The sequence below is a fragment of the Homo sapiens genome, chromosome 2 (assembly GCF_000001405.40).
Source record: "Homo sapiens chromosome 2, GRCh38.p14 Primary Assembly".
NCBI classification, from domain to species: Eukaryota; Metazoa; Chordata; class Mammalia; order Primates; family Hominidae; genus Homo; species Homo sapiens.
In genome coordinates, this window is record NC_000002.12 from 24728673 (window position 1) to 24747399 (window position 18727).

Consider the following 18727-nt stretch of genomic DNA (forward strand, 5'->3'; position numbering starts at 1 on the left):
GCTTTTCACTATGGAACAGAATCTTACAAGCTCCAGCCAGAATAGAATCCAGATTTATAGCATCACTTCTCATTTTAGAGCTTAATTTATCCTTCATTCACGCTTGTCTTCTGCCAGTATATTCCATGGTATTGCAACTTCCAGGTTAGCCTTTTTTACACGATAGGGTGATAAAATCACTTTAGTGCATCTTGACCAGCATTTTTAAATGGAGTAGAATAGTGTAGAATACAAAGTATGAGAATGCATAGCCCATAAAAAGAAGTCATGTTTTGTGAAACTCCTTTCAGCTGCATACAAACACACACACACACAAGCACACGCGCACGCGCGCAATTAGGTCACAATTTATATTTCTTACAGTGGGTAATAGTGAAAACATTTGGAAACCATAACGCTACAGCTTTCTGTTACATGAGCTGTGGATTTTTTTTTCAAATAAAAGCATGAATTTTATATCTGAGATAGAAAAATGCCTGCTTGATCCCTCCTTTAAGAATCTACTTCCTATAGTAAGCTATTAAATGTAAAGTTTATTGATTCTTAGGCTTTGCAATGAAGTTTTTTCCCAAACCTTTTAGTTTTATTTCATTGATTTGGAGCCTTTATTTTAACTATATTGCCATCTCTTTACTGAGATTTTAAATATCTCAGCTAATCCGTTACTCCATTTCAAAAGCAGCTTTTATAAATGATTTCTTTAGGTAGTAAACTTCTGGAGAGCATGAATTCAGAATGAATATATGATGGTGCTTTCTAGAAATACGGAAGCATGTTACTTATTGGCAGAAATTTATTTGTAAAATATTCTGGCTTCTTTTCTAACAGGGGGGTGGATTAGATGTATTATCAGAGAGATTTCCACCACAACAAGCAACGCCACCTTTGATCATGGAAGAAAGACCCAACCTTTATTCCCAGCCTTACTCTTCTCCTTCTCCTACTGCCAATCTCCCTAGCCCTTTCCAAGGCATGGTCAGGCAAAAACCTTCACTGGGGACGATGCCTGTTCAAGTAACACCTCCCCGAGGTGCTTTTTCACCTGGCATGGGCATGCAGCCCAGGCAAACTCTAAACAGACCTCCGGCTGCACCTAACCAGCTTCGACTTCAACTACAGCAGCGATTACAGGGACAACAGCAGGTAAGTGCTCTTGTTTAGCAGTTGATACTTTTTTTTTTTTTGAGACGAAGTCTCACCTGTCACCAGGCTAGTGTGGCTAGTGTGCAGTAGTGCTATCTCAGCCCACTGCAACCGCCGCCTCCCAGGTTCAAGCAATTCTCCTGCCTCAGACTCCCGAGTAGCTGGGATTACAGGTGTGTGCCACCACTCCCAGGTAATTTTTATATTTTTAGTAAAGACAGGGTTTCACCATATTGGCCAGGATGGTCTCGATCTGTTGACCTTGTGATTTGCCCACCTCGGCCTCCCAAAGTGCTGGGATTACAGGCGTGAGCCACCGCACCCTGCCAGCAGTTGATACTTTTTAAAGGTATATACCAAATCTCTCTGCAAGGCAGCCCAGTTGCTACAATAAAAGTGTCAAGTCCACTCCCAGAACTTTCATGAAAGACTTGAAGAGCCATCCTTCCTCTCCTAGGAAAGGGATAAGGGACCTTTTCATTCAATTAAAGACCTTTCATTCAATTAAATCAATTCATTCAATTAGGCTCCTAATAAAGCACTTAGAGACCTATAACTTAAAGAACAATTTAATTTTTATTTTTTGAGATACAAACTATTTAAGGGGAACATCATACAATTATTAAATTAAGAGAAACAGCTTAATTTACAAAGTAGAGCATCAAGAGATACTGTTTATGATTATTGGAAAAGAAAATAAAGTTTATTTATATTGATTGAGGTTGGAGAGATTGATGCCCAGTGATGTTACTATATTAGGAGAATGAAGGAGAATAGGGGCCTGGGAGTTGTGAGTGAGTTAAATCTTCTCTCTCATGACAGGAAATGAGTAGGCGTAGTGGCATAAATATTTAAGATTGTATAAGCAACAGATATGGAGATAATCATTAAGGACCACAAGAGCAAACAGTTAAAAATGTCTGCTGTGGGCCGGGCGTGGTGGCTCACGCCTCTAATCCCAGCACTTTGGGAGACCAAGGCGGGTGGATCACTTGAGGTTAGGAGTTCGAGACCAGCGTGGCCAACATGATGAAACCCCATTTCTACTAAAAGTACAAAAAAAAAAAAAAAAAAAAAACGGGCATGGTGGCACGTGCCTATAATCCCAGCTACTCTGGAGGTTGAGGCAGGAGAATCACTTGAACCCGGGAGGTGGAGGTTGCAGCAAGCCGAGATTGTGCCATTACACTCCAGCCTGGGTGACAGAGCAAGACTCTGTCTCAAAAAAAAAAAAAAAAAAGCCAGCTGTGGGAAGGGGGACCTGAGCTGTAGATTGTTGCTGCTTGTTATGAATCTTGTAGTTTCTAAAACCATATTTGTATATTGCCTTGAATTTTTATAAAAGTATTTAAAGAGGTTCCCTGGAGACTTACTAATTCAGGAAGGAAGAGAAAGAAGGAGATAAATTATACTGGAAAGGCAGTATGATGTAATGGTTTTAAGAGTTCTAGTTTCAAGTCCCAGTTCCAAACTTAAGTGGGTTGCCTTAATCAAATGATTTACCTTTTAAAACCTCTAATTCCTCATCTATAAAAAGAGTCTAATAAAGAACTCCTTTCCCTCACTGGTGGTTGTATGGAATAAATGAGACAAAACATGTAAAGCTTGTAGCATAATGCCTGGCATATTGTAGCAGTTGATAAATATTAGCTATTACTATAAAGTTGCATTCAATAAACATAATATGTAATATAAAATGTGCTTCCATTCTGTTTAAAAAAAGGAAGATGACGAAAGAGAAGAGAAAAGGAGAACTAAGAAAGGGAAATTTTTTAAATGATAGAATAACAATAAAAGGAATAATTTTTTAAATGCTAGGGTAGAATAAAGGATTCAAAGAAGAATTAAAGGAAGAGAGAGGAAAAGAGAAAGAGAAGGAATCATAAATGTTCTGAGATATTAATTGAAGATAAACTACTTCTTGTAGCTTTCCATTCATCTTTAGATAGAGGGCACCAGAATAAGAAATGCTTAACAGTTTCCCCGTGTTTAATTTTTCACAGAACATATTTAAGGGGACTACACTAGGTACTATAAGGAATACAAGGAATAAAAGAAACAGGCAACTGCTTGGCTTTTTGACTACAAGACCTGAAAACCATTTTGACTACATACCTGAAAAGTTAAGTGACGCTGCAAGCAGTATGTGATTAAGGGCTAAACCAAAAAAGTAAAGGAAAGTGTAGGTGTGCTAGTTTCTCATTTTACAATGTAAAGTTCTGTAAATACTGCCTAATATTAAAGGGTCAATGAGCAAGGCCAGACCAAGGGTCTAGGTCAGGTTCATGAATGAATGGAATGATGATTCATGCTTGATTCAGAAAAAAAAAGTTGTTTTGGCTTCCATTTGCTCCTAAAACAGCTGATAAGCAGAGAAGCCCTGCAAAGGTATGAGAATAAGATGCAAATAAGTGAAAGTTGCTGCTCTTTGCTTCCCTTAAATCTCATGGATGCCTATCCAGAGATGGCATGGTAACCTAACAGAGTAAAGTATCCACCAAGTTGAAGAAACACAGAATTTGGGGCTCACCATGTTATAAGCCCCATGTATGTCTATACGCAAAAACAACTTCTACTGCAAACTAAGACAGTAACTCTGCTACCTAACGAGCCACATATCGGGGCCTGTTCCTTCTCTTTTAAGCCATAAGTTCTTACTGTTTCAGCACTAGGTCGCTCAGCTTCACTTGCACTGCAAGTACTAGGAGTTTTACATGTGTCCACTTAAGGGCTTTCTGTGAGCAGGTCTGGCCAAGGTTCTCAGTCAGTGTCTTGGTTAAGATGCTTTCAGCCACAAGGAAAGAAAAAAAGATCAACTCAGCATAGTAAAACAATAAAGAAAATATTTTGACCCAATTGACAATCCAAAATGAAAGCAGACCAAGGTGTGGTTACTTCAGAGATTCAGGGATGTTATCAAGGACCCAGGTTCTTTCTCTTTTTGCTCTGCAATCCTTGGCATGCCATGATTACAAATACCGTAGGCAAACAAAACTATAACTAGCAGAAGAAAAGGGACTGTTTCTTTCCTATGTACCTCTTTCCAAAAGCCAGGAAACTTTTTCCAGAAGGTCTTCCCACCCCATCCCCCGCCAAAAAAAGAAAAAAAGGAACAAAAAAAAAAAGTAAAAAGGGGGAAAAAATACTTCACATGTCTGACTAGTCAGAACTGAGTCACATGTACACCCTTAACCAATGGTTCGCAAAGACTGACTGAGAATACTCCTGGATTACCCCTGGAGTTGTGTGATTTGGGATGGTCAGCTGAACAAAATCTGTTCTGTCTTCAAGAAAGAAGGGGAGAGTAAATGGCTGCGGGTTGGCAATAACAGTGCCTGATTAAATCAAGAAATTGAGGTTTAAATATATTGTTTAAAGTTATATAGTTAAATTCACAGTTGGGATAAAATAGTGAACTGAGGTAGTATTAATATATCTCCCCTTTCTCCTGCCTTAAATCCTATTAAATAACAGGTTGTATTTTTTGTGTCTGTGACTAAGTTCATGTCAGTGTAGACAAAAAAAAGAACACCATTAGCGCACTAAAAATTAAGTCATTTTGAAATACAAAAAAAGCAAACATGAGAAAGAAACAAAATTATATGCAAATAATACAACTATTTATATAGAAAATCCAAAAGAATCTGGCCGGGCACAGTGGCTCACGCCTGTAATCCTAGCACTTTGGGAGGCCGAGGCGGGTGGGTTGCCTGAGCTCCGGAGTTCAAGACCACCCTGCGCAACATGGTGAAACCTCATCTCTACTAAAAATACAAAAGTTAGCTGGGCATGGTGGTGCATGCCTGTAATCCCAGTTACTGGGGAGGCTGAGGCAGGAGAATTGCTTGAAACTGGGAGGTGGAGGTTGCCATGAGCCAAGATTGTGCCACTGCACTCCACCCTGAGTGACAGAACAAGACTCCATCTCAAAAACAAAACAAAACAAAACAAAAAACAGAAAATCCAAAAGAATCTATAGGGAACTTAGAACAAATAGAGTAGTTCAGCAAGGATTTTAGATAAAAGAACAAGAAACAAAAATTAATGGCAATTCTTTTTACTAGAAAATTAATTAAAAATACATTCAGGCCAGGCACGGTGGCTCACGCCTGTAACCCCAGCACTTTGGGAGGCCGAGGTGGGCGGATCACCTGAGGTCAAGAGTTCGAGACCAGCCTGGCCAACATGGTGAAGCCCCGTCTCTACTAAAAATACAAAAATTAGCTGGGTGTGGTGGCGTGTTCCCAGCTACTCAGGAGGCTGAGACAGGAGAATCGCTTGAATCCAGGAGGTGGAGGTTGCAGTGAGCCAAGATTGTGCCATTGCACTCCAGCCTTGGTGACAAGAGCGAAACTCCATCTCAAAAAAAAAAAAAAAGAAGAAAAAAGAAATTCACACTGTTCAAAACTTAGAAGATGTGGAAGTCATAATTGAAAGGCAAAAAGAACATCCAAAAAAAAATACTCATGAAAGAAATTATGTCTCCTAATTGGTTGTCGCTTGTAAAAAGATGACAGTTGTTCCAAATTCAATCAGTAAATTCAGTGGAATTCCAATAAAATCTCAACATGGAATTTGACAAATAGATGCTAAATTTGTTTTAGAAGCATCAATACAATCTTGAAGTATTAATAAAATGAGGGTATACTTGCTCTACCGATATCAAGATTTAAAACAAAGCTTTAAAAATTAAACCAGGCTGGATGTGATGGCTTACACCTATAACCCCCCCATTTTGAGAGGCGTAGGCAGGAAGATTGCTTGAGGTTAGGAGTTTGAGACTAGCCTGGGCAACATAGCAAGACTCTGTCTCTACCAAAAATAAAAAAAACCAAAAAACAAAAAGCCAGGTGTGGTGATGTGCACCTGTAGTCCCAACTACTTAGGAGCCTAAGTTGGGAGGATCTCTTGAGCCAGAGTTCAAGGCTGCAGTGAGCTATGATTGTGCTACTCACTCCAGCCTGGGTGGCAGAGCAAGACCTTGTCTCTAAAAAAAAAAATTAAAACAGTGTGGAACTAGCATGAGGATAAATAGTTCTACCATAATAGAGTTCTACATAATAGACGGTTCTGCATAATAGCTCTACATAATAGAAAGCCCAGAAACACACCCAGACATATTGAGAGACTTAATAAGAGACAGAGGTGACAATGGGGAAAGAATGGCGTGCATCATAAATGCTGGTACATTTGGCTGTTCATGAGGAGGAAAAAATTAAATTTGATCCTCATCTTATACAAGACACAAAAATAAACTCTAAGTGTTTTAGTGACCTAAATGTGAATATGAAAATATCTCTGTAGCCTCTTTAAAATGACATAAAGGAAAAAGTAAATGTTTACATTAAAATTTACGACCTAGAAGACAAAAGACACCATAAGCAAGGTTAAAAGGCAAGACAAAGACTCAAAGAAGATGTTTCCAACCCCATATGACTGGCAAAGGACTAGTGTCCAGAATACACCCAGTTTGTAATCTGCTATTCATAATATATTTACCTCATTGGATTGATACCCACCCATCTGTTCGCTTATTGGTCATATCCTCTCCTTCCCTCTTCCCAAATACAGGAGACTGTAAGCATCTCATAGCAAGAATTTAGCACCATGCCTAGTGATTTGAGAAAAGAAAACGGGTGTACTCAGATATACATTATAGTTTCCTTCTTTTTGGTGAATTTTAAGGTCAGTTTAAAAACAGATGTTGAAAAAATATATATATATAAATAGATATCATTTATTGGCCATGAGTATATCTCACTGGCTGGTATATACTTTTTACTCCTTGTGTAAAGGAGTAAAAAGATTGTAACATTTTAAATTCAATTACACAGTAATGAATAAATCCCCAGTTGGGAGGAGAGAGATGAAAAACATCCTAGGAAACTAGTGTATCTGTATTGGTTGAGATTTTTAAAAAGAGCAACAAGAAGGAAGGAGCTGATGATTAAAAAGCAATACGAAGTTACAAGCCTTTAGGTGTAATACCCGCTTACTCCTCAAATAAGCAAAGACCCAAGAAATATATCCGTAATATCAGTAAAGGACTTCTAAAATTCTATTTTGGGAAAAAGAACAACAGCAAAAATGGGTAGACCTGCTGCTTTTAGAAAATGGTATCATAGGCTGGGCACAGTGGCTCATGCCTGTAATCCCAGCACTTTGGGAGGCCAAGGCAGGTGGATCACCTGAGGTCGGGAGTTTGAGACCAGCCTGACCAACATGGAGAAACCCTGTCTCTACTAAAAATATAAAATTAGCCAGGCATGGTGGCACATGCCTGTAATCCCAGCCACTTGGGAGGCTGAGACAAGAGAATCGCTTGAACCCAGGAGGTGGAGGTTGCAGTGAGCTGAGATGTCACTGTTGCACTCCAGCCTGGGCAGCAAGAGTGAAACTCCGTCTCAAAAAAAAAAAAAAAAGAAAAAGAAAAAGAAAATGGTATCATTAGCTGACAAAAGATACGATTTTTCCACTCCAGTTTTGTTTTCTTCCCCAGCAAGGATCATGATCTTCATAACTATCAAGAGGAGAATAATATAAAGAGAAAGTGACAGTGAGACACATAAACAAATATGGTATACTTAGCAATCTTAAAACAAGTCAAGTCCAGATACGTATGTGTTAGGGTACTGAACAAATGTACGTATCTGACATTATAAGAACCACTATTGATCATCTTTTATATATTATAGAGAATAGAAGTGATCAGAAAACAGAATTAGGATTAAAGGACAGAAAAAAAGAGAGAAACATTTTACCTTCAGGTTTCTGGCAATGAAAAATGCCCAATAGGACAATAAGTTTCTTTAAAGAATACTTTTGTCTTTGCAAGAATTTGTGCAGTAGCTAGCTCAGGGTTTCTCAACCTTGGCATTTTAACATTTGGGGCTGGGTAATTCTTGTTATGGGGGAGATGTTGTGTGCATTAAGGATGTTTAGCAGCATTCCTGGCCTCTGCCCACGAGACGTCAGCAGTACCTCCTCTCTTAGTTGTGTCAGCGAAAATGTCTTCAGATATTGCCAGATGTCCCTTGTTTGGCAGAATCACCCCTAGTTGAGAACCTCTAGGCTAGATAATCATCTTTTAGGTTTCCTATAGGAGGACTTCTTGGTAAAGCACTGGGAAGAAAATCCATTCCGGCAGACAAAGTGACAGCCAGCCTGAACTGTGTGTGTTTATTTTATACTTAGGAATGGGTTTGCCCTCTTCCGCTGGCCACAAGCCCCACATTTCCTTTTCTTCTACAACAAGCCTTTTAACCTGTGTTTGTGTCTAAGGACTAACAACTAATCTCCTCCCACTCCCCACCTCTCTGAAAGTTAAGATTTCCAAGGAGCTGAGGAATGTAGCGATCCTTTTGGGAAGGCTATGTTGGAAGAAGTGGAACTTGACCTACTTGTTGAAAAACAAAGCATTTTAATAATTGGAGAGAAGAGGCAGGTCAAAATAAGACAGGTGTACACAGCACTAGTCAGGTTGCACACACAGATAGTCAAGGGGAGGAAAAAATGAACAAGGGTTAATTCAAGGGCAGAAATAGACCAGGTTTCCTATAACAGAAAGTACTTGTAGATTTATGCTATTTAGAATAATTCCTTCTACTTCTAAAAAAGAGCCTATTACTACTTGTCAGGCATCTTTCCTCCATCCCTACCCATTTCATTTGTACATTATCTCACAATTCAAAGAATATATAAAGCTATATGTTTGGAATGTATTTTTACCTGGCCTCATTGCCTCCTCTCCTGTTTTTTTACTTGCTGTTCCCTCTGCCTCAAGTTAACTCTGCCCTCCTCCTTGCCACCTTGCATTCTCATCCTTCAAGATGAATGCAAGCTGAGCTCACTCATGCTTCTTGGTCCCTGTCTTCATCCCTAGACTGAATGAGTTGCTCCCTCTGTGCTGCCGTAGATGTGTCCGTCTATGCAGACAAAGCACCTGTGCATTTTACTGTTGTGCGTTGGCTTCTGCCACTCAATAGGGAACGGAACTCCTAGAAGGACAGGAATTTGCTCACCTTTGTAACCTCCAAACTTTATACAGTATCTTGAATGTACTGAGTTTTTAAGTAAATCTTTATAAAATTAACTTGGTTTATCTAAATTTATGTTCCTGGTCTTTCAAGTTTAAGAAGTATATCAGTTTTGGTATTTAAGAGTCTTTTTGACTTTTAAAACTATAAAGTTGGTATCTTTCTTTTTGAAGTGACTCAGAACTTCAAAAAGTTTTAACTTATTCCACAATGCCTTAGATTTGTCATTTTAACATTTATATTATAATGAGCTTTTCCCCAAAATTGGTTTGTTTTCTGATCTAATGGGAGTGAGAAAATGACTGAAGTTAGAATTAAGAGTTGAGCTATTTGATGACAAGAGATTTAATCACTGTTCATAGCTCTTTGGATTCTTATAAAACTTTCGTAGGCTTTCTAGTTTATGTATAATATATTGAAATATATTTATGATATATAAGTATATATAATTTGTGTTTTACAAAGTATATAAACATAAAATAGTATTAATATTATTGTTACTGTTATCTTCCGGAATAGTTTATTCATATGAAATTATTGAAGAAGAAATGTTTTAAGCTATACATTGTTTTCAAGAAAATCTCATTTCCAAGAATACTTCTTTTGTTACCAGATACTGTTAAGGCATGCCTGGCATGCCTATGACCTGGAACCCTAATCCTGGTCTAGACTGATCTTCCAAACCAGTATTCACAGAAAATTGTTCTGAGAGATAGATATTAATGGTTAGATGTTAGAAAAAAAGGTTCATGATAAATAAATTGCATAGTATATCCCTTCTTGGCGATCCACAATGTGCTTTTGGCCAATTAAAGGCTTATAAAATTTCTGCAGTAAATAAATCTGTTTTACCTTGTGTAACCCATCATTTCCAGTACTTAATACAGCACAGCATGCTGTTTTCCCAGCACATCTATTAATATCCTGCAGAACAATGTTCTTTAGCATTGTTCTTTAGCATACCAATTTGGGAAATGCTGGTCTAAAGTAATTACTTTTTCTAGTTAAATAAATAATCCATTTTTTCAGACCATTTGTTTCTTACATAATACTGTCTAGCTAATGAAATCATACTGGATTTTCCCCAAATATGTATCCACCAGACATAGTACCTCCAAGTGAGAATACCATCCAGCTTGCTCAACTTTCCCTTCATCTTCCAGACCTTTGTAAAATGTGCCCTTACTGTATACCTGCTTTTACATTTATAATATTTTAAGACCTAGGGCTGGTACTTCTTCTTCCCCATTGCAGCACTTATCTAAAATAACTATTAACATGTTTTTTTGTTGTTTTGTTTGTTTGTTTGTTTTTGAGACAGTCTCGCTCTGTCACCCAGGCTGGAGTGCAGTGTGTTTGTATCCTACTTTTAAATACTTTGCCATAGTGTTTTGGAGGCAATAAGTGTTTTATAAACATTGGGAACTACTAGCCTTTTGGAAAATAAACATAGGAAATAATCTAACCAAACCTGCAACACTAAAACTTTTTAGTAATCAATAGAAAGTTTGTGTTACTTTATAAGGCCCGTGTTATGCTTGTGTGTAGAAATATATCTTATTGTTTCCATTTTTCTCTAGTTGATACACCAAAATCGGCAAGCTATCTTAAACCAGTTTGCAGCAACTGCTCCTGTTGGCATCAATATGAGATCAGGCATGCAACAGCAAATTACACCTCAGGTAATGTGAGAAAACCAGACGTCATTAGTACTTCTTTAACCCACATAGTGTTTCTTAAAGTGTTGACTTGAGTGTCTTTGAAATGGTCTGTGAGCTGATCTTTTAATGATGTTTGTAGTGTAGTTTTCTTTGAGAATGAATTAATAATCTACTTTTGATACCTCTTACTGATATTTGATCTAAAGCAAATGGTGCTTTGTTTTGTTTTATTGTTATTATTGTCATTGTTATTGGATACCAGATGACTAAGTAGAAAAAACTCTTATTTCTGTAGCGAATAGCACCAGTAACAGGAAGCCTCTGATACGAAACTGTGTGAACGGTACCCGAAACCTGATCAAAACCCAGTCACATTGCTAAGCTGTCTTAACTATCTTGTGTACTATGTTCAATTTGAACATCAGCATTTTCTAGCTTGTATTTATTTTTTAAATCCCTTTTTTTTTTTAATAAACCCAGAGCCATTAGAACTTTAAACATAAAAAGAACTAGGTGGACTTCTAAATGTTACCTAGTACTCACTCTCTACTTTACCCCATACATACCTAAAAATTTTTTGTTTCAACTACTTACTTTTATTTCATAACAAAGTTGATGTAAAAATCTTGGAGATAAGGAATTTTAGAGAGGATTTAAACAATACTCTTTTCCTCTCCACAATATGGAACTAGATGGATTAGGAGCAAATAAAGCCAGCACCTGTATTATTAAAGAGATAAATACAGCCATGCATGACTTAAAGACAGGGATATGTTCTGAAAAATGTGTTATTAGGCAACTTCATAATTGTGCAAAGGTCATAGAGTGTATTTACACAAACCTACATGGTATAGCCTACTTAGCATCCTGGCTATGTGTATAGCCTATTGCTCCTAGGCTATAAACCTGTACTGCATGTTACTCTACTGAATACTGTAGACAATTGTTATGGTATTTGTATATCAAAACATACCTAAACGTGGAAGAGGTACAGTAAAATACTGTAGTATTATAATCTTATGGGACCACCGAATTTGGTCCATTGTGTGCAACTGAAATGTCTTATTACTAAAATGTCTTATTGCTGAAATGTCTTTATGCATCACATGACTGTATTGACTGAAGTTGTTGGTAAGCAGCAGATATTGACATCTTCATGGATCCAGATTTCAGTTTCTCTGTCTTACAAATTATAAATCTTAGTGCTAGCTAATTCAGGAGTAATTAGGTTGTAAGGAAACAAGACCCCACTTTTGGATTCACATAAAGATAATTCCTATCAGAAAGTCTTATTTCATAGTTTCTTCTAGATTAGACTATATGTAGTTGGCAAGAGCTGTATGCTTTAACCAGATTCTCAATCTGAATTGACATTTTCTGAAGAAGGCTTTATTGATATGCCATGTTACATTGAAAAAATGATTTTAAGCTAATTTGACCACTTCTTTCCTCATCCATAATATTATAACTGAAACCACTTACACTAATGCCTGGAATAATCTGAAACTCCAATAATAATACAAAATAGCTGTTTCCATTTATTTCTTTTTACTATTTTATTTCTACTTATTTTCTTTTTAAGTGATAATTTCTTAGGCATTGGATCCTAGATTTCAGAATCTTCCTTTTTTAATGGTATTTGTAGGTTTTTTCTAATTGTAAAGGTAGTACATGTTCATCGTAATAATTTGGTAAATATAGAAAAGTATAATGAAAATTAAAATCACCTATAATCACATGTTATTCATTTAAATAAACTGGGATAATGTTCTCAGTGAGAAAAGTGGAAAAACTAAGTTTCTCTTTACCAGAAACACAGTAAATTTTTTGGAATTGAAAAAGTCTTCTAATGATCTAATGAAGGATAGGACAGAAGTCATCAAGCACATTTTCTTTCACTTCCTTATGGTCTTCATGTTTCTCTTAACAATGTTCATGGCCAATATTATAATACTAATCAATACATACTTTCTTTGAATTTTTCAGTTCTGTGTGACTTTTCATTGAGAATTTGCGTTCTCATTTATAATGGTCAGATATTGTTTAGCATTTCTTGACTACTTTTAATCTGTAAAATATACTTAATTCATTTTTTCTCCTGTGATTGTTACTTAAGAGGTTTTTGTTCCTTTTCTGTTTTAGTTTCCCTTGTACAGTGATAATTGCTATGTACTTTATTGCCCCAAGCAAGTAGGCCTTAATCCAATGAACTTTCCAGGATAGATAGTGATTATAATAATTTTAGTAAGTGAGTTTTTTCCTGCTTTTCAGCCACCCCTGAATGCTCAAATGTTGGCACAACGTCAGCGGGAACTGTACAGTCAACAGCACCGACAGAGGCAGCTAATACAGCAGCAAAGAGCCATGCTTATGAGGCAGCAAAGCTTTGGGAACAACCTCCCTCCCTCATCTGGACTACCAGTTCAAATGGGGAACCCCCGTCTTCCTCAGGGTGCTCCACAGCAATTCCCCTATCCACCAAACTATGGTACAAATCCAGGAACCCCACCTGCTTCTACCAGCCCGTTTTCACAACTAGCAGCAAATCCTGAAGCATCCTTGGCCAACCGCAACAGCATGGTGAGCAGAGGCATGACAGGAAACATAGGAGGACAGTTTGGCACTGGAATCAATCCTCAGATGCAGCAGAATGTCTTCCAGTATCCAGGAGCAGGTAGGAAGGTCACAACTTTATGTTGTTCTAAGTAATCCATACAGGCTTAGGTCTCTCTCCATCTTTATGTCTGTGCTTGGACATTAAAATAGTGTGTGGAAGAGGAAAGACACTGACGTGGGAGTCTGGAGACCCAGGATTCAGACTCAGCTTTTGACACTAAATGGTTGACTGGTTTGAGGCTTATCTCCCTTTTTTAGCTGAGATGATTGAATTAGAGGATCTGTAAGGACCTTTTGAGCATTTTGTATGCAAAGTACGTTCCCCCTTTTTTTTTTCTTTTTTGTTAGATGCAGTCTCGCTCTGTTGTCCAGGCTGGGAGTGCAATGGTGCAATCTCAGCTCACTGCATCCTCCACCTCCTGGGCTTAAGCGATTCTCCTGCCTCAGCCTCCCGAGTAGCTAGGATTACAGGCATGTGCCACCGTGCCCAGCTAATTTTTGTTTTTTTTTTTTTGTAGAGACAGGGTTTCACCATGTTGCTCACACTGGTCTTGAACTCCTGACCTCAGGTGAGCCACCATACCCGGCCCATTCTCTTATTTTTTAATTTTTCTCATTGATCTCTATGAGAATTCAATGAAAGTCTTCCCCACACAATGGATTTTAGTACATTAATTCAAAATTCGCATGTAGTTTTTTCATTGTGTGGGAGATTTTGTTTTTGCCAGTTTGCATAAGAATAATTTATCTCCACAGAGTATCTCAGACTACTCATTGGTGTCATCACTCTCAGCTGCTGCTGTTGCAGCTTCCTCTCCAATGTCAGTCAACTTTCTGGCTTCCAAAAGCTTTTTTCTTTTTTAGTCTTTCTTTGGCACTGTCTTCCATTCTCTTTGTCCTGGGTGATAATATCTTTTCTTATTTCTTTTCTGTCACTTTCAGGTTCTGATAGGTAGTGGCAGTGATGAACATCTGATTAGTCTACTCTGTTTAATCAAACTTTTATGCAAAATTAATTGTCAATTCCTGAAAAATAATTGAAATAAATCCCTTGATTATATAAATGAAAGAAAAGAGGTAAATTTTAAGGCTGCTTAAAAATGAATTTCAATGAGAAAGCTGCTGTTTGACTTGAATAAAATGTCAAAGTTATACAGAGATTTTTGACATGGCAGTATGCTTATCAGTTTTGACAGCCAAATCAATTTAGAGTTTCCATTCTGATGGTAGCAAATACTAAAATCCTTTGACTATCAAATTAAGTATCTAAAGACTTGTGCCAGAGAGCACCAGAACTCTAAAGAGATTTTAATCAAAATTATGCCACATCAGTTTCTTTGTCCTCAAGACAATGAAGTCATCTTTGGCTGGTTTATATCAGTGACACTATCTGTGTGGGCGAGAAAAGGATTATAAATCCATATTTTAATTATATGGTTGCCTGAACAAGAGTATGGCCTTCAAAAGAGTTTTATTTCCATGTGTCTTACAATTTCTGTATGCAGAGAATTTGACAAAGCTTTTTCACTTTAGCCTGTGGAAGTACTTCCTCCAACATTAGAAGACTTGTGTAGTCATCTGCATCCCCATTCCTCCTCCAAAATGACAACCTGACTAAAACAGCAAATGGGTTTTTAGCAGCATTCATAATATTAATTGCAGAGCCCTAAATCAAAAGATTTATCTCATGCATTAGGGGAAAAAGCTAACTAGAAGTAAGCCAAACATTAATAAATTCCTCATGAAATTATTCTAAGGATTTTTTCTATTAAAAAATAGAAATAGTATTTCTGTCCATTTTCAGGCATGTACTTTTAAGTTTCCTCTGGAAAGTCAAGAAAGGAGAACTTTATATTCTGCTTTCATTCCTTGACAAAGCCACCTGGAAAGGCGGTCCTTCAGTGCCCCGGTTCTCATGAAATTGACAAGTTTCTTTCACAGTTCTGGGTCTAGCCTTTTGATCTGAGTTGTGTCAGCATAGAACAAAGTGAGCTGAAATAATGGAGTGGGTGGAGCTTCCTCTTTCCCCGTACCATAATGGGAAAGATGTGTTGCCACCTATCATGAGTATCTGGTGCCTGGGTTTTTCTTCCAGACCAACTTCTGATTGACAAAAATATTTTCACAAAATAAGAATTTGCTTTTTATAAAGTCAGCATTCATACTACAAACAAAACCCAAATGCTGAGTGCATTGAAGAGAACAGTGGTTTCATCCAGTTGCAAACTGAAATGAAATGGCAGGGCTGTCAGTTCTTCCATGGACTGCTTCAAAATAATACTGGAAAAATGTTTAACTTTTCTGGACAGAGTAAGAATGTTTAAAGATGCAATGTTTTTAATTTCTGTCACCACTCTTAATTATAAACTTGCTCCAAATTGATCAGCAGTCTGGTAGAGGACCAGGTTTTGTGTTGGCACAAAATGAAGTTCTGGAAAAGTTCCAGCCTTTTCAAAACAAAAACAGTTTATTGTGGCTTAAGGAAATCCAGATAAAAAGGCTCTTTGGCCTTTGTTGGTTTTATGCTTCTATTCCTAAGAAATCGGCCATACAAAAGTACCAAAATATATGTGTTCCAACATGTTTCCAGGTTTGACAAATTAAGGTCCATAATCCAGCCCAGTTGTTTTGGTAAATAAAGTTTTAATGGAACACAGCCATACTTACTGCTTTATGTATTATCTATGGCTGGTTTCATATAGAAGAGTTGAGTAGTTAAAGAAACTTTATGGCCTACAAAACTGAAAACATGTATTATCTGGCCCTTTGCAGAAGAAGCTTGCTGATTTCTGTGTTAAGTGATGACAGTAAAACCAACGGATAACTGCATTAGCTTTGCTTTATATCCTTTGCCTTAGCCTCTTTCCACTTAATGTAGGCCCAAAGTAAATGAAGGAACATGAAAGTCATAGTAATGGCAGAGTAAGTTTTCTGGTATTTCTGAAAACAAGAAACTTTTCTAGACTACCATGCTATGATAATGAGTGTAAAAGAACAGAATCAGACTTTAGAAATTGTTTTCTTTTTTCTTTTTTTTTTTTTTTTTTCTTTGAGACAGAGTCTCGCTCTGTCGCCCAGGCTGGAGTGCAGTGGCGTGATCTCGGCTCACTGCAACCTCCACCTCCCGGGTTCACGCCATTCTCCTGCCTCAGCCTCCCGAGTAGCTGGGACTACAGGCGCCCACTACCACGCCCGGCTAATTTTTTTGTATTTTTAGTAGAGATGGAGTTTCACCATGTTAGCCAGGATGGTCTCAATCTCCTGACCTCGTGATCCACCCACCTCGGCCTCCCAAAGTGCTGGGATTACAGGCGTGAGCCACCGTGCCTGGCCAGAAATTGTTTTCTATTAAGGCAGTATTCAAAGTAAATATGAGAAATTGGTTTCTTTAGTGTATCTGCCCACTTCATGGGTTCCTTCAAGCCCATTTAGAGACTTCTTTTCTGTGAACTACAATAAAATCCTCTTCCACCTATTCCTCCTCAGTGATCTCTTCTCCTTTTGGGGTTTCAGGGACCTTTACATGCTAGTGACTTTATTCTCTATCTCTAAACAGTATCTCTCAGCTCATATGTACAGCTGCCTACTGGAAACATATACTTGCATTTTCCACCAACACCCCAAACTTAACTTGTACAAACCTAGACTCATCAACTCCATGTTCCCTTTTATAGTTCTGTGTTCCAGCTACAGTAAACTCTGAGTTCCGAGAAACAGCACAGACCTTGTTCTCTTTTACTTCCAGGGGCTTTGAACATTGTCTATACTCTATCTAAAGTATTCTTCCTTTACTTCTCATTCCTATTCTTCCCTCCTCTCAGATATATCTCCTCTGCAGAGTCTTCCTGGACACTCCCAATCATAAAGTAGTCAACACCCTGTCTTAAAACCACTTGTTAACCTAGCTGCCTTTCTTTTTAAATAGCAAGTTCCTTACGTGAGCAGAGTGTGACCTTTTTAACCATTGTTTCTCCAGTGCTTAGCACAGTGGTCTCACAGTGAATAGATGCTTAATGAATCTTTGAAGAAATAAATGAATGAAAGTATGAATTCTAATTCTAGTTGCCACTGTCACATGTCTGCAATGCTAGTTATGGTTGGTCTAGCAGGGAAACTTAACATAGTCTAGCCCAGCTGGGCACGGTGGCTCACGCCTGTAATGCCAGCACTTTGGGAGGCCTAGGCAGGTGGATTACCTGAGGTCAGGAGTTTGAGACCAGCCTGGCCGACATGGCGAAACTCCATCTCTACTAAAAATACAAAAATCAGCTGGGTGTGGTGGTGGGCGCCTGTAGTCCAGCTACTCGGGAGGCTGAGGCAGGAGAATTGCTTGAACCCAGGAGGCGGAGGTTGCAGCGAGCCAAGATCACGCTACTGCACTCTAGTCTGGGCAATAGAGCAAGCCTCTGTCTAAAAAAACAAAAACAAACATAGTCTAGGCAAAGATAGAACTGTAAAATTTTTCATCTAGAAGAACTAGATTATCTGATTGATGCAAGTTATCCAAGGTCCAGTGTGTAGCAGAACTGGGACCAGAACTCTAAGTATTCCTCTAATTCATTACCCACAGGCTAGTTCTTTCTGCTAAAACTGGGTCATTTCACAGACGATTTTTAGAGAAATGAAACCACTCTCTATGATACTATAATGGTGGGTACATATCATTATACATTTGTCCAAATCCATAGATTGTACAATACCAAGAGTGAACCGTAATGTAACCTATAGACTCTGGGGTAGTTGATAATGAGGACAGTTATACATGTGAGTGAATGGAGGAGGGGTATGTAGCTTCATTTACATAATTTTACCAAAAATAAACCCTATCTAGTGAAAGAAAAAACTGTAAAGTCTAAAGTTAGGAAATCTCAGTACCATCCACTTAGTTTTGCTTTGAACCTAAAGCTTCTCTAAAAAATTGTCTTTTTTAAAATAATAAATTTAAAAGACCAACACTAAAAACAACAGCAACAACAACAACAACAACAAAACAAACCACAAAAAAGTCATCTTCTAAGGGAAACTGTTCATTCCAATATGAACAGTTAGAATGTGAGATGAAGCCAGAAAGAAATATCAGAAAGCTTGCTCTTGTACTTGGAGTCTCTTATTTATTGTTTACTGTTGACCCCACAAAGTAATATCCAGAATATGATAAGCATCTTTTCCCGCTCACATATTTTTATTTTTATTTTTCTCTTTTTTTTTTTTTTTTTTTTTAATCTTTTGAGATAGGGTCTTGCTCTGTTGCCCAGGAGTGGCGTGATCATG

General features: G+C 37.8%; 1 protein-coding gene across 15 annotated transcripts in view; it reads left to right on the forward strand.

Moving 5' to 3' along the window:
- NCOA1 (nuclear receptor coactivator 1) overlaps window positions 1–18727 on the forward strand; it is a 279449-nt gene that overhangs the window by 237419 nt on the left and 23303 nt on the right. For 14 of the 15 annotated variants that reach the window (XM_047446155.1, NM_001362950.1, NM_003743.5 and 11 more), the window contains 3 exons: window positions 829–1143; window positions 10760–10861; window positions 13112–13514. In XM_047446155.1, the coding sequence (XP_047302111.1) occupies window positions 829–1143; window positions 10760–10861; window positions 13112–13514 (820 nt within the window). The remainder of the gene's footprint in view (window positions 1–828; window positions 1144–10759; window positions 10862–13111; window positions 13515–18727) is intronic. The other variant, XM_047446158.1, reaches the window with a different exon arrangement.